At 47.4% G+C, this 14,864-nt stretch overlaps 1 protein-coding gene across 21 annotated transcripts in view; it reads left to right on the top strand.

Moving 5' to 3' along the window:
* COBL (cordon-bleu WH2 repeat protein) overlaps positions 1-14,864 on the top strand; it is a 300,598-nt gene that overhangs the window by 278,213 nt on the left and 7,521 nt on the right. For 9 of the 21 annotated variants that reach the window (NM_015198.5, XM_005271751.1, XM_047420077.1 and 6 more), the window contains 4 exons: positions 7,688-7,785; positions 9,006-10,885; positions 11,932-12,051; positions 13,225-13,488. In NM_015198.5, coding sequence (NP_056013.2) covers positions 7,688-7,785; positions 9,006-10,885; positions 11,932-12,051; positions 13,225-13,488 — 2,362 coding nt within the window. The remainder of the gene's footprint in view (positions 1-7,687; positions 7,786-9,005; positions 10,886-11,931; positions 12,052-13,224; positions 13,489-14,864) is intronic. The other 12 variants (NM_001346442.2, NM_001287436.3, XM_011515240.1 and 9 more) reach the window with 2 other exon arrangements.

The raw sequence follows: 14,864 nt of genomic DNA, 5'->3' as shown, positions 1-14,864 counted from the left end.
CCCTTCATCACCTGGAAAGACCCAAGTGTGTAAGGTCTACCTCGCTATGTTCTAGTTTTCTTAGCTATTTCTCCTTTCCCTGCACCCTATGAAGGTCAAAATCATCTAGACTCCTTTGGCTAGGGATGCCTGGGTTCACACATTGACAAGCTGGAGGCAAACACCATTTCCTCAAGAGCTCTGCCACCTGTCCAAGGAGAGAGCCATGTTGGGCTGGCCACAGCTAAAAACTGTCCTGGCCCAGTGGCATCTTCACTGCTTGGGTTGTGTGCAGTTGTATTTAGAGGTTCGACTGGCCTCGCTGCTGCTGCAGCACCTGCTTCATACATGGCAGCATTGGTGGGCTCCATTCGGTGTCCTTGGAGCCAAGGCATTAAATTGAAGAGTCTCAAGAATACCATGCTTCTAAGAAGAGCAAGTGTGAATGCTTGGTAATAATTAGAATATGTTACACGTTGGGCTCACGCCTGTACTCCCAGCACTTTGAGAGGCCGAGGCAGGTGGATCACCTAAGGTCAGGAGTTCAAGACCAGCCTGGCCAACGCAGTGAAACCCCATCTCTACTAAAATTACAAAAAATAGCCAGGCGTGCTGTTGGGCGCCTGTAATCCCAGCTACTAGGGAGGCTGAGGCAGGAGAATCACTTGAACCCAGGAGGCAGAGGTTGCAGTGAGCTGAGATCACACCACTGCACTCCAGCCTGGGTGACAAGAGTAAAACTCCATCTCAAAAAATAATAATTATTAGAATATGTTATATGTGCTGCTGCAATTTGAAAAGCGTATGTTTTCATCCAGTCATGTGATGGTATCCGATTATAATTTTTCACTGCAGAATAAATCTCAGTTGAAATTTGACCTTGTAAAGGGAACATCAGAGTCCCAGAGTCTTCCTCTCAACATAGTACAGCCAGTGAAGAAACTCCTAAGGAAGAGCTCAGCCCAAGATCTGAACAGGAATAATAGAAATGTGCATGTGGTGGTTGCATTTCATTCTGGGGACACCTGGGCATGGCCCTCAGGGAAGGTCCTGTGTGCCTCACACACAGCTCTGCCCTGGACTTCATGGACTCACAGACTCTTCCGAAAGGCATCTGTCCCTTACATATGACCCCAGCCAATGCTCCTAATAGTTAAAGAATCACTTAATCTGAAGATTGAAGAGTCTGCATTTAGACTGCTTAGGGAAGGAACTGCCCATGGCTGGCAGTGGTGTGCCCAGTGACTTCACCTCTTGGTTCAATTTCCTGGTCAGTAAAATTGAGATATGCACTACCTCCTCCTTACAATAGTGCCTGATACATTGCTAGCCTTCAACAATTGGTAGCTGGTGTTATTGTTGCTGGTATTGTTATGTACAACTGACTGAGGAAGGGGAGAAATTTGATTTGCTAGGTAATCTTTGTAACTTGTATCTAGCTCTGATCATCTTCCTCTTTATTTATAACATGTTTGAAAAATAGATAAATAGACACATATATATGTGTGCATGCGTATATGTGCATGTATGTGTATATAAGAGAGAGAGAGACAGAGAGAGAGAGATGGATGGGGAAGTAGAGGAGACTGTATCTCCTCCTACCTGCAGGGAAGGAACAGTGGAACTAGCACTGATTATAAACTCTTGAATTCTGAAAGCAACCTTGCTATAACCAGGCAATATCTAACTGTGTATAATTATTGTGAAAATCTGAGTTCTAGGGTTCCTTTTGGGAACATCAATTCCACAGGAATGCTGTGAGAAGTAAAAGAGAGAGATCGAATAAGTGGGTGTCAGGCTTTTTCTTTTTTAACAGTAAGGCCAAACTGAAATCATATGCAGAGCCACCAAAGGTAGAGAGTGTAGCTTCTCCAGTTGAAGGGAGCCTCCCTGGAGTGCCCGATGTCCCATTTCAGCCTGGCAGCCTGTACATTTCCTTCTCAGCCCCCACTTGTTGGTGCCTGCTGGGGATGATGGCTGCAGAAGCACTTTGTGAGGAGCTGTGCTGTTACCTGCAGGCTTGTGGCTATGAGGATCCTTATGGGACTGAGGGCCTGTAGTGAGAGGTGCAGAGGGACCCAGATCACACCAGCCAACCTCTGAAACCTGCTGACTGCAGAAACTTTGTGACACAGGAGCATTTAGAAACATTTGGCACCACCTAGAACCTTGAAACTTCATTGTTGACTGAAAGATGAGTATGCAGCTCATGACTGTGTAAGAGTGCATAGATTATATGCAAATACTATGCTTTTTTTTTTTTTTTTTTTTTTTTTTTTTTGAGACGGAGTCTCACTCTGTCACCCAGGCTGTAGTGCAGTGGTGCGATCTTGGCTCACTGCATCCTCCCCCTCCTGGGTTCAGGCGATTTTCCTGCCTCAGCCTCCTGAGTAGCTGGGATTACAGGCACACGCCACCATGCTAATTTTTGTATTTTTAGTAGAGATGGGGTTTCGCCCTGTTGGCCAGGCTGGTCTCAAACTCCTGACCTCAAGTGATCTGCCCACCTTGGCCTCCCAAAGTGCTAGGATTACAGGCGTGAGCCACCGCACCCAGCTACTATGCCATTTTATACAAAGGAGTTGAGCATCCGCAGAATTTGGTATCTATGGGGGATCCTGGAACCAATCCCCCTTTCCTCAGATACAGAGAGAGGATTGCATAAGAACTTTGTGACTGCGGAATCATTGAGAAACATTTTCTACATTCCAGACCGCTTCTAGAACTCTGAAACTTTGTGACTGCATTTACAAAGGAGTGTTTAAAACACATGTGAGACCTTGGAGAGCTGCACCGTCCAGTATGTGTGTGGCTGCCGAGCGCTTGCCAAGTGTCTGGTCCAAATTGACATGTGCTGTTAAGTGTAAAATATACATCAAATCTGGTACAGAAAGAAATAATTTTATATTAATTATTGGCAGAAATCACTAAATTGTTTTATTAAAATTCTACCTATTTCTTTATACATTTTCAATGTTATTATAAAAATATTTTAAATTATACATGTGGCTCATGTTATATTGGGCACCATTGTTCTAGGACTCTGAAGCTTTGCTAATACAGGAACATTTACAAATGGAAGGGGGAGGTTAAGCACATACGACTATCATCAACTGCATATTTTCCCAGGCTTCTTGCCTTTAGTTAATCAAGTAATCACTTTGAAATCACAGGAGTTGGTTTGGTTGTCATTAGCAAATTGGATTGCTACCTAAAAGCAACATCTCTCTCCTCTCAGACTTTTTTTTTTTTTCATTAATTCTGCCACTGTACTAGCCTCATCAAAAAGAAAAAGTGACCTCATGTGCTATGAACCCATCTTGTACATTTCGGATTGGTCAGATTCAGCCCATTCTCCCTCATAGCAAATGAAAACAACAAATCAAAAAGCGCTTTTGGCTCCTGGCACTAACTGAATTTGACTGTCCCTAGTTCTCGTTTTTGCTGGAGGCTGGGGTATGAATGCAGAGGCTCAGCAAGCCCTGCACACACCCGGCTGGGTGGATCGGTCAGCCTGCCACCCTCCGACCATCCCAAGAGGCTGGGCCCAAGGACGCAGGTCCACTTCCTGGGCAGACTCTGGTTTGAAACTTGCCGGTGCTGAGCTGTGTCCCTCATATTGCATGCCCCAGTAGCCTAAACATTCACATTCCCTGCAGAGTCCCCAACTCCGTGTGAGAAAATAACTGCAATACTTATTCAACACATGCAGCCTGATATCAAAATGTCTTCCCTGTGTTTGTTTGCATTTATTTCCTTGATCTTAAGCCAGAACAAACTGTCAATAAGGAACGTTTCTAAAGATTGAGGTATGTGTTGGTGGGGGGGAAGGAAGCCCGGGAGAAAAACATCTGGGCAGGTTTACTTTAAGCTAACAGAGGCTGATGTTTCTTGCTGACTGCTAACTCTTCAGGGACACATACCTAGGGCTCCCCTGCTAAGCCCACAGGGAACTGGCCTCCAAGCCCAGTGACTAAGGGCATAAATCTGGTGGTTTTGCAAAGAGAGAGGAATGTTTATAATCCATTAGTAACCCTTTGGAGAGAAGTAGATGGGAGTTAGTAAGGAAGGAAAATACTGCTGTCTCTCCCTCCTGCTTTCTTACACTGGAAAGTAAAATCACTACATTGCCATTGGCTCTGGCTTTTGCTAGATAATCCATTCATACATGCTCAGAACACAGCCGCCCTGTTTTGCATCAAAAGAAGAGCAGGCTGCTCCTCTTTCCTCTCTCAGAGATGCCAGGAGCTTGGCAGCCTCAGGAGGAACACCAAACAAGGTCCTGGGCTGCGTGGTGGCCAGACCTTCCCTCACTCCACGGTGCACACAGGCTGGGAGCTCCTAGCTCATGTCCACTCTTTCTTTCAGGGCAAGCAGGGCCCCAAGGAGCCAGCCCCACACTGAAGTGTGGGGGAGCAAAGCTGGAGCAGAGGTGGGATGCAGAGGTACCAGCATTGCCTGGAACCAAGCAGCAGCGTCCGGGGCAACCTCTATAGAGTGCCAAGTGAGGCCAGTGGTGGGAGGGAGCTGGACAGGAAAAAACACAGGGATGAAGGACTAGGGCTGAGCACAGGGTCCCCAGACTCCAGAAAGGCAGCTGTAACTGGTGGATAGGGGAGAAACCAGCTCAGAAGCAGCCCCAAGCGCCTGGAGCTGGGCTCCTGCTGTTTCTAGAGGGCAGGGAGCCCGGAGCCTGGGAGGAGGAAGGTGTTGAAGGGCTGAGACTGTTCAGACCTTGTACAGCCTCTCTGTTACAGTTTCAGGCTGACAGCCACGCACTAAGATTGCTAGGCACTCAGTAACAAAATAAAGTGCTTACTGTGTGCAGTGTAAGAAGAATGCAGACTCCTTTGCAGGAAAGAATTCTTGTTCACTAAAGGACAAAATTATCCTTTTAAATTTTGCTGGCTAAAAATTTGCTCTGTCACTCAAGCTGCTTTGAACTCAACCAAGCACAGTTCTAAAGAAAAAGGGTAAAATATTCATCCTAATTCATCCTTTTCCTTAAGTCATGCTGGTTGGTTTCTTGTTAGATTTCTGTCTCCGCCTTGTCCAAAGGTATTTGCTATTTTTAAATCATCACAGTGTTTCTATATATGTGTGTGCTGATTTCTTCACATAACATGCTAACATAAGCATGGATGTGTGTTTCTACATAGACTTAATGATCATCATATTTACTGATTTTAATGCCCTTTGAAATATATATGTAATAATTTAGGTAACTGCCTAGTGCTGGACATTTCTAGAATTCTTACATGAACTTTGTTGTATTTATATTTTTCCTTCTATAGGGTTTCCTTAAAGCAGATTATTAAAAAAGAGATTAATGGGCCAAAGTTCTTACAAAGATAACGTGATTTTTGTTTGTGTGTTTTTTGATATGTATTTCCACATTGCTTTCCAATTAAAACCTGTAGCAACAAGTGTGGGTCTGTCAGATTCATCACATCTTCATCAGCTTGGGGTGGGTTTTTGTTTTGTTTTGTTTTGTTTTGCTATTTTGCAAAATGGTAGAATCAGTGGAGTTTTTATCTTATTATTTTTTTTAATTCTTATTGATATCATTATGTTCCATGTCTCATAGTGACGTGATCAAGCATACTTTAAAATAAAGGCAAATACTTTGAAGTAAAAGTATGTCTGTAATTTTGTTTGGCTGGGCTTTAAGCATCCTAAACTAAGAGCAAGCATTTAAAAAGTTTTCCATCTTTCCAAGTATTTAAATCTCTTTTCCATTTCAGATTGCTCTTTTATATGGCAATTTCCATTTTTCTCTGCCATATATTTTATTAAAAATTTAAATGTATTTAAACCATCTCATTCCATGAAAGAGAAAAGCAGAACTTTAGTAAAGTGCATTCAAATAATTAAAGTCCATGGCAAAAGCAATAGGGAAGACAGTCATGCACCTCTTGTGGTCCTTATTAATGGGTCCACATGCACACACATCTCCAACCAGCCCCCTTTGTGTAGCTTGTCAGAGGACATTAGCTGAGACTAATCTGGAAGCCACTTCCTGGCTCCCAAATGGACATAGTCACCAAATCAGAAAGACTCATTTATCAGAATAAAAACTTTGCTACGTGAGGATTGTGCAAAGCTTATTTCATGCATCATTATCTGGGCCTGATTAGCAGTGATGGAAATTGGTCCTCAATTTTTAACAATCAGCGGAAAACAAACCTTCAGCTTTCACTGAAGATAGACAATTGCCATAGACATGTCTCTGTGTTTTCTGCACAATAGGAAAATAGAGGCAAGAGCCCTTGCAAAGACAGTTTTTAAATTGTTTTGGCAGCAGTTGTCTCACAGATGCCATTGTCCCTGTGACGCAAATGAAGCCAGATCCCGCTCTCTGAGCAGACGGGTTGACATCTTCCTGGATGCCCCGTGCCACAGGGGCCACATTATTATGTGTTGTGGCCCCAGATGCAGCTGGTCCTTCTTGGGCTTTGGGGGCAGGCAGGCCTGGTTCCAGATGCCAGTGTGACCTGGGCAGCTCTGTAGTCTCTCCGTACATAGTTTCATCACTGTACAACAGTGACAACAACACTACCTGCCTGAAAAACTGTGAGGGTTATAATAAGATAATTTATGCAAAAGAGCTCTGTGCGGGGGCTGGCACAAAGGCATGCAGACAGGCCTCACACTGCTAGGAGCTTCCTCCTGTTAAGTCTGAGAGGAGGCCCTTGGGAAGGGTCTTGCGGAGTCAAGGGTGGAGCAGTTACTCCTGCTACTGTTGCTGTGAGGTTTTTTGGCCATCCTTATTGTCCTTATGTCCCAGTTCAAGATTCTAGGGAGTACAGCTCTTCAAGTGGCATTATCAGGCCCCCAAGCCCTGCCCCTGCAAGTGGCATTATCAGGCTCCCTGTCACCCACCAAGGGTAGGAATTAAGCCAAAGTAAACATAGAGTCTGTAAAAGTCATTTATAGTAGAGGAGTGAAATTTCTCGTTTTCTGAGTCTGGCAGGGTGGGCTACTGCTAGGGTGGACACAGATGGAGGCTGAGCTTATGAAGTTGGTGGGACTTCTGGGAACACTCCCCCATGCAGCCCTGCACAACCCTCCCCACGGACCTCCTAACAGCAGGCAGATCCTGCACCAGAGGTATGTAGCCTTTATCACTGGGACCTTGAACGACGCTGCACTCAAATCCGCAAGTGCCAAGGAACAGCCGGGCTGTGCAGTGTTGAGGTGAGGTGGACCAGCCTCCAGCCACGTGCACATGCTTGGCCTCCAGATGGCTTCACTCCTTCTTGCCAGGTGCCAGGTGCAGGGGACTGCTGTAGCGCAAGGCACAGATGCAAGCAAATCCTGGATCACGTGAACCGTCTTTTGTGCGGTGGAATTAAAACTTTGACTTCAGTCTGCAGAGTGAATGAAAGCTGTGTGTGGTTTGGTTACTGTAACACTTTGGGGCCCCACACACACACCATATATCACATGTCCACCACATACAAGACATATACTCCACACATGCACACACGCTACACGCATCCCACACATACCTGTGCACACACATGGGGGACACACACACCCATGAACAATCTGCGTCTCCGTAGTTCTGAGGACAACAGCAGTACAGTGAGTATGTGACTGCTTGAATTTGAGTATGAGCTGTTCTATCCTCAGATATTCCTGGAAAGGAGTACATTAAATCAATAGTAAGAGAAATGAGTGCTCCTTTCTCTTTGGTCTTCCCTAGAACTGAAAAAGCTGTCACAGCCTCAAATGATGAAGAAGACCTATTAATTGCTGGAGAGTTCCGTAAAACCCTTGCAGAACTTGATGAAGACCTGGAAGGTAAGAACCACCTGATCCGCTACTCTGATATTATGCTGCATGAAAGTAGGTGCCAACAGTAACTTCCTCTGAGCATACTTTGATGTATCTATGTGAGGAAACAGCCTTCAGAAGGAATTCCAGGTCAGTTTGGTGAAAGTCTGGATGTGAGGCGCACACAGGTTTCCGGTAGACTGCTTTTTATCTGGGCTGCCAAGCAGTACCTGGAAACATCCAGACAACTGCTTACAGTGTGCTCTGAATAATACTAATTCAGTGCATTAAAAAAGTATGCCACACATGTTAAAGAATAAAAAGGGTGGCGCAAAAAATAAACAGATTTCCTCATTAAGACTTCTCTTAATTTGTTGATATATGGCATATCTGTCAATGAGAAATACTCAGCCTTTTGACCACAATGAAGCCATTTATAATGGAGCATCTCATGGCACTGCTATTATATTGATATATTTTGGGGAAATAATACTGGAAGGCCAAAGCAGATGGCAAATAGTTGCAGTAAACAGCTAGGGAATCTTTCAAACAAAGCAGCTATGTTATTTTCTCCAATGCACATGTTGAAAATAAACTAAAAATTAGATATTTATCATGCCTTAGAGAGAAGATAACAGACTGCAAAACTGACGAGTAGTTTTTGTCTGACTCACTTTTCAGTTTCCTGTCCTGAGAATGTATAGTTGACAGAGCTAAAAATTTGAATCAGCCATAGTGTGTCCCGCAGGTTCTGACCCCATGACCATTGCATAATTTGGTGCTTGGAAGAGCCATGGTAATTCTGAGATACTCAAGATTTAGTCATCTGCTTCCTTAAGAAGTTAAAGCTACAGCCCGTGGTCCTCTGGATTTTGTTGTGCTTCTAGTGGACATGAGAAACATGGAGGTCAAAACCCAAAACTCATTTTCATGTTTCTGTGTTGAGACAGTTTTTCCAGAGGCTTGGATCTACAAATCAGTTTTTTAAGTGAAGGATGTTGGCAGCACATTGTAACTGAATACCTTGCCTTGAAACATCATGGATCTGCAAACAGCTGTGTTGAGTAATGAAAGTTGAGCTTCTGGCCCCAGGCATATTATGTAGATTACAAACCCAAATAACATTTTAAAACGTATATAAATAATGTATTCAAAAGTAACCTCAGGGAAATCAAAGTCATGGCTGCAGTTACACTAAGTAATTGGTGTGGGAAACATCTGTGATTTGTGTTTGTCCCTCTTTGCAGAAATGGAAGACAGCTATGAAACAGACACCAGCTCCCTCACCAGCTCCATCCATGGTGCATCCAACCACTGCCCACAGGATGCCATGATCCCTCACGGCGACACAGATGCAATCCCAGTAACATTCATAGGGGAAGTTTCAGATGATCCTGTGGATTCGGGGTTGTTTTCCAATAGAAACAACAATGCTGGGTCTTTCGACTCGGAGGGTGTTGCCAGCAGGAGAGACTCCCTGGCGCCACTTCAAGCTGAGCACAGCCAGCCCCATGAAAAGGCAAGGGAGGAAGTACCTGCCCTGCACCCCGCTTCCCATGACGTCGGAAAAGGAATCCGTGTGGCCTTATCTAACATCTCTAAAGATGGGAATCTAATGGAAACGGCGCCCAGGGTGACTTCTTTTGCTTCGAATCTTCACACAGACAACCTAAATGCAAAAGTGAAAGACAAAGTGTATGGCTGTGCTGACGGGGAGAGGACTCAAGCCACAGAGAGAGTGAATTCCCAACCGGTGAATGAAAAGGACAGCAACGATAAAAACGCTGCCTTGGCACCAACATCATGGCACCAACGAGGCCAAAACCCAGGGAAAAGCTACAGACTTAAGCACGGCCTCACAACGTATAAAATCATTCCTCCAAAGTCAGAGATGCGATGTTACGACAGAGATGTGTCCCTCTCCACCGGAGCCATTAAGATTGACGAGCTGGGGAACTTGGTGAGTCCTCACGCCACCGGCATCAGGATCATTTCCCTGTCTTCGTCTGTGCCTGAAGCAGAATCTCAGCCCATTGGGAAAGTCAGAGAGTTCTGGAGGTGCAACTCTGTGGAAAAACACCTGGGCCGACCCTCAGAGAGCTCTGCCAGGGGACCCCCCTCCACCCCTGTGCCCACGCAGACGCAGAATCCAGAGAGCAGACTCCAAGCAGACCCCAAGCCAATATCGCCCCAGCAGAAGTCTGCCCACCATGAGGGCCGGAACCCCCTAGGGGAGGGGAGAAACCAGCCCCCCACCATGGGCATGGGTCACGTGAGGGTGCCAGCAGCTCACACCACAGAAGTCACATTTCTCAAGCCTCAGAGAAGAACGTCCAGCCAGTATGTGGCCTCTGCCATTGCCAAGCGCATAGGAGCCCCAAAAGTCCATGCTGATGTGGTGAGGCCACACGGTTATGCCGAGAAGGGTTATGCAGGCAAGGCGCCAGTGCTGGCTGCACCACCTGTCACTGTGAAAGATGACAGGACATCCAGCCCACACTCAGAGACACAAGGATGGAAGGATGGTGCCCAGTGGCCCTGTGTCACTCCTCCCAACAACCACGGGGAAGATTTGGCAGTGGGAGCCCCTCCTAGGGGGGAGGTCATTGGCCCACACAGGAAGTTGTCTACTCAGGACAGACCTGCTGCTATCCACAGAAGCTCCTGTTTCTCACTGGTTCAGTCTTCCCAGAGGGATCGTGTTTCTGTGGGACAGAGCTGTGGTTTCAGTGGAAAGCAAAGCACAAGTAGCCAGGAGGCCAGCTCAGCATCTGAGCCCAGACGCGCACCTGATGGTACAGACCCACCCCCTCCACACACATCTGACACTCAGGCCTGCAGCAGGGAGCTGGTCAATGGCTCTGTGCGCGCCCCAGGCCACGGCGAGCCTTCCCACCCTCCAGGAGGGTCTGGCACAGAAAGCCACATTCTCCTAGAAAGAGAGGAAAAGCCCAGTGTGTTCTCTACAGATGGAAATGAAACAGACAGTATTTGGCCACCCAGCATTTTTGGGCCGAAGAAAAAATTCAAACCTGTTGTCCAGAGACCAGTCCCAAAAGACACATCCCTGCACTCTGCCCTGATGGAAGCCATCCACTCTGCGGGAGGGAAGGACAGACTACGCAAGGTGAGGATGGCGGCTTCCGGGGCAGGCCTTCCACACCTGCCCACTTCAGTGCACTGGTCTCAGAGTCTCAGAATAAAGCGGAGGAGAGAGAGAGACGGGATTAGGATAACAGTGAGGCTTACCACACAGGTTTCATTTTAACTAGAATTCCCATCATACTGCCTCCAGATATTTGTACTGAACTATTAAAGGGACAAAATGGATGGGTGTGAGGCTAGTCCACACTGACTTCAGGCCCCTGGCTGCCCTGTGGGAAAGGTAACAGCCAGTGATGTCCATCCACAGGGCCAGAGGAATGGAGAGGCCAGGGGCAGGCCCATCCATATGGTTATCCTTGAACAATGGAACAGAGGAGAAAATTCAGGCAGGGCCACTTCTTTCCCATATGCATTTGTAGCAGCAGCGAACTGTCATTCTTCAGTAACACAGGAGTAATTGTAGGACACGCCTTGCCCATTGTCTAGGCACTTAACACACCACAAGTATTATCTCATTTGCATGCTACACCAATGCTAATAATGAGATATTTCTTCCATTTTGCAGATGAAACTGAGGCACAGTGAGGCCAAGGGGCCTCGTCCAAGGTCAGGCACTAGTTAGTGGGGGCCATGGATTCTCTTCTGGGTCTGCAAGATGTAAACACACACATCGGCTCTGGAACACTGGGATGAATAGCAGGAGTGGTCTGCCATTAAGAGGCAGTTTGAAACTACGTAGCCTTTGATTCTTATGTGTGCCTTCTCATAGACAGGGTGTAAAACTGACCCTATAGGCCTCGGCTGACATGAGTGGATTTTCTTTCTTTTTTTTTCCTGAGACGGAGACTCACTCTGTGGCCCAGGCTGGAGTACAGTGGCACAATCTTGGCTCACTGCAACCTCTGCCTCCCGGGTTCAAACAATTCTGGTGCCACAGCCTCCCGAGTAGATGGGATTACAGGCATGAGCCACCGTGCCTGGCCCATGAGTGGGTTTTCTCATGAGCTGCATTACAGTTCACATTTCTCCATGTTCTCAGTGAAATGTGTGACACTGTTAATATTCTAGACGGCAGAACACACCGGGGAGGGCAGGCCAGCGAAACTGTCCTACACGGAGGCAGAGGGCGAACGATCTGCACTGCTGGCAGCTATCCGCGGGCACAGCGGCACCTGCAGCCTGAGGAAGGTAAGAGGTGAAGGGCCTTCCATGGCGCCAGGAGCTCAAACCCACCCACCCCTTCTTCCGAGGCACTTGGGTGGTGGCTGCAGAAGCTTCTGTCCTTCCGATTGGATGGTGAACCATCTGTCTTTAGAGTGGCCATCCCAGCCTGTGTGAGACACTGGGGTGGACACCCTGCTCCAAGAGCCTGGGGCAGCCATGGCAAGGAGCAGCAAGAGCTTCCAGACACTCTCTCAGCCTTTGCTGAAGCACAGTTCCTTCCTGTGCCTAGAACTGAGCACTTTTCCAAATTCACTTGGACACCTAGGGTGGTTTCCAGGCTTCACTAACTGGACAACCAGAACTGAAGCCATTGCACACCTGGAAAAAAGTTGTTGCATGAATATAGCGCTGGTTTTTGCACATCCTTGGGAGCCAGTATGGACTCGAGTTTAGGGCAGAATGGTCTCATCTTAGTTTCCATGCACAGAAATTGAGGAGCAATGTGATTTGTACATTACTCATTAGGTTCTGACTGCATGTCTTGCCCCCAGTAATGGGTTGGATGTATGTGTCCAGCCTCTATGTCTATTCTTATATGCCAAGAAAAGTCATGAGGTCAGAGAGTTCTCAGTAAGGCAGGACTGCCAACTTCTAGTCTCTGGGATCAGTTACTTGGCTGCCAACAGAGCATGGGGGCAGATGTCTCGGCCGTGGAGTGGACAAACTTCCTGGGCTTATTGCAAAAGAACTGTCTCAGGTCCAGGGGTAAGATAATCAGCTGTGTGCTGCTCTCTCAGAACCTTTGGGGACAGTGTCACTGCCTTAGTCTGTTTGGGCTGCTATACCAGAATCTGACAGACTGGGTGGCTTGTAAATGACAGAATTTTATTGCTCACAGTTCTGGATGCTCAAAGTCTAAGATCAAGGCACCAGCAGATTCAGTATCTTGTGAGGGCCCACATTCTGGTTCATAGACAGTGCCTTCTCTCTGCATCCTCATATAGTAGCAGAGGTGAGAGAGCTCCCTGGAGCCTTTTTTGTATAAGAGCACTAATCCCATTCATGAGGGCTCCACCTCATGACCTAGTCACCCCCAATCCTCATCTCCTCATGCCACTACCTTGGGCGTTGGGATTTCACAGCTGAATTTTGGGAGACATTCACTCTATAGCAGTCATTTAATCATCTCATTGCCAGGTGGCATCCTCTGCTTCTGAGGAGCTCCAGAGCTTCCGAGATGCCGCACTCTCTGCTCAGGGCTCGGAAAGTCCTCTGCTAGAAGACCTTGGTCTTCTGTCCCCACCAGCCATTCCCCCACCACCCCCTCCACCCTCCCAGGCTCTCTCTGCACCAAGGACGGCCTCCAGGTTCAGCACGGGCACCCTCAGCAACACCGCAGACGCAAGGCAAGCCTTGATGGACGCCATCCGCTCCGGCACAGGGGCTGCGAGACTGAGAAAGGTGATGGCGACTGTGTGTGCGCATTTCAATGGGGCCAGAGGGTTGGAGGTGCAGCGTAGATCCAGGGACACGCTTGCCTGTGGGCAGGAGCTGCGAGGCGGTCACATGGGAGTGGGTTGAGAGAGAGCCGGCGTCACTGTGTCTCTCACATGTGCTGACCAGAGTGGCAGATGAAGGCTCCAGTCCACAGGTGAGAAAGTCAGCCTCCTGCATGGTAGGTGCCAGCTCCAGTCCTCAGCTCCTTGGTGATGATGACAGGTGGAATCTAAACCCCACTGTAACCCAAGCTCAGTTCCACCCTAACCCACAGTTTCTACTGGTCCATGGAGAGGATGGAAGATCATCCATTTGGGGCCCCACAGAGCACACATCACAAACTCATGGCCCTCAGCTGGCACGGAAGCCGCCAGTCTTATTCATTCATTCATTCATTCATTCATTCATTCATTCATTCACTCGTACATGCTTGCATTCCAGCCTAATGTTGGACAGTTACGGAATCTGAAGTCCCTTGGGCAGAGCATGCACTTTCTGGATTTCCCCGGCTTCTCCATTTTGGTCTTGTGCTGGTCTGCACATTACTGCCCACCTGGCCCCTGCAATGGAATTCCTAGATTAAAGGGCTGCTTGGGCCAGATGGCTTCTGAGACGTGTTTCAATTCTGACATGATTCAGTAATGGATTGACCCTCCGTCCCTGCCCATTCCTAGTGGGTGTGGGGAGTTATGCTAATAATTGGGAGGTTGGAAAAAGATTTTATTTTATTTTATTATTTTATTTATTTATTTATTTATTTATCTGAGACGGAGTCTCACTCTGTCGCCCAGGTTGGAGTGCAGTGACGCGATCTCGGCTCACTGCAAGCTCCGCCTCCCGGGTTCATGCCATTCTCCTGCCTCAGCCTCCTGAGTAGCTGGGACTACAGGCGCCCGCCACCACGCCCGGCTAATTTTTTGTGGTTTTAGTCGAGATGGAGTTTCACTGTGTTAGCCAGGATGGTCTCGATCTCCTGACCTCATGATCCGCCTGTCTCGGCCTCCCAAAGTGCTGGGATTACAGGCGTGAGCCACTGCGCCCGGCAAAGATTTTATTTTCTGAGTGATTATTTCCAGATCCTAAGCTTATGTTTTCACTTGTACCCAAGCATTCGGTGCTAAAGATTATCCTCACTTTCTATATAAAGTGGGCCAGGCTCAGAGGAGTGAGTCGCTTGGCTTGGTCACACAGGGCCTGGACTTAGACACGGATCAGTTTGGGCACAAGAAGTGCTCATCCCCAGGTCACAAGCTGTGTGCTCCGTAGAGAGCAGGTAACCCAGGAGACGCTGGGTAAGCTACTCTCATGTAGGACTGCTGGCACAATGGAGAAGGGAGACA

The sequence above is a fragment of the Homo sapiens genome, chromosome 7, assembly GCF_000001405.40.
Source record: "Homo sapiens chromosome 7, GRCh38.p14 Primary Assembly".
Taxonomy (NCBI): Eukaryota; Metazoa; Chordata; class Mammalia; order Primates; family Hominidae; genus Homo; species Homo sapiens.
The sequence above is the reverse complement of the archived record's forward strand: the minus strand, read 5'-3'. Positions and strand labels throughout refer to the sequence as shown.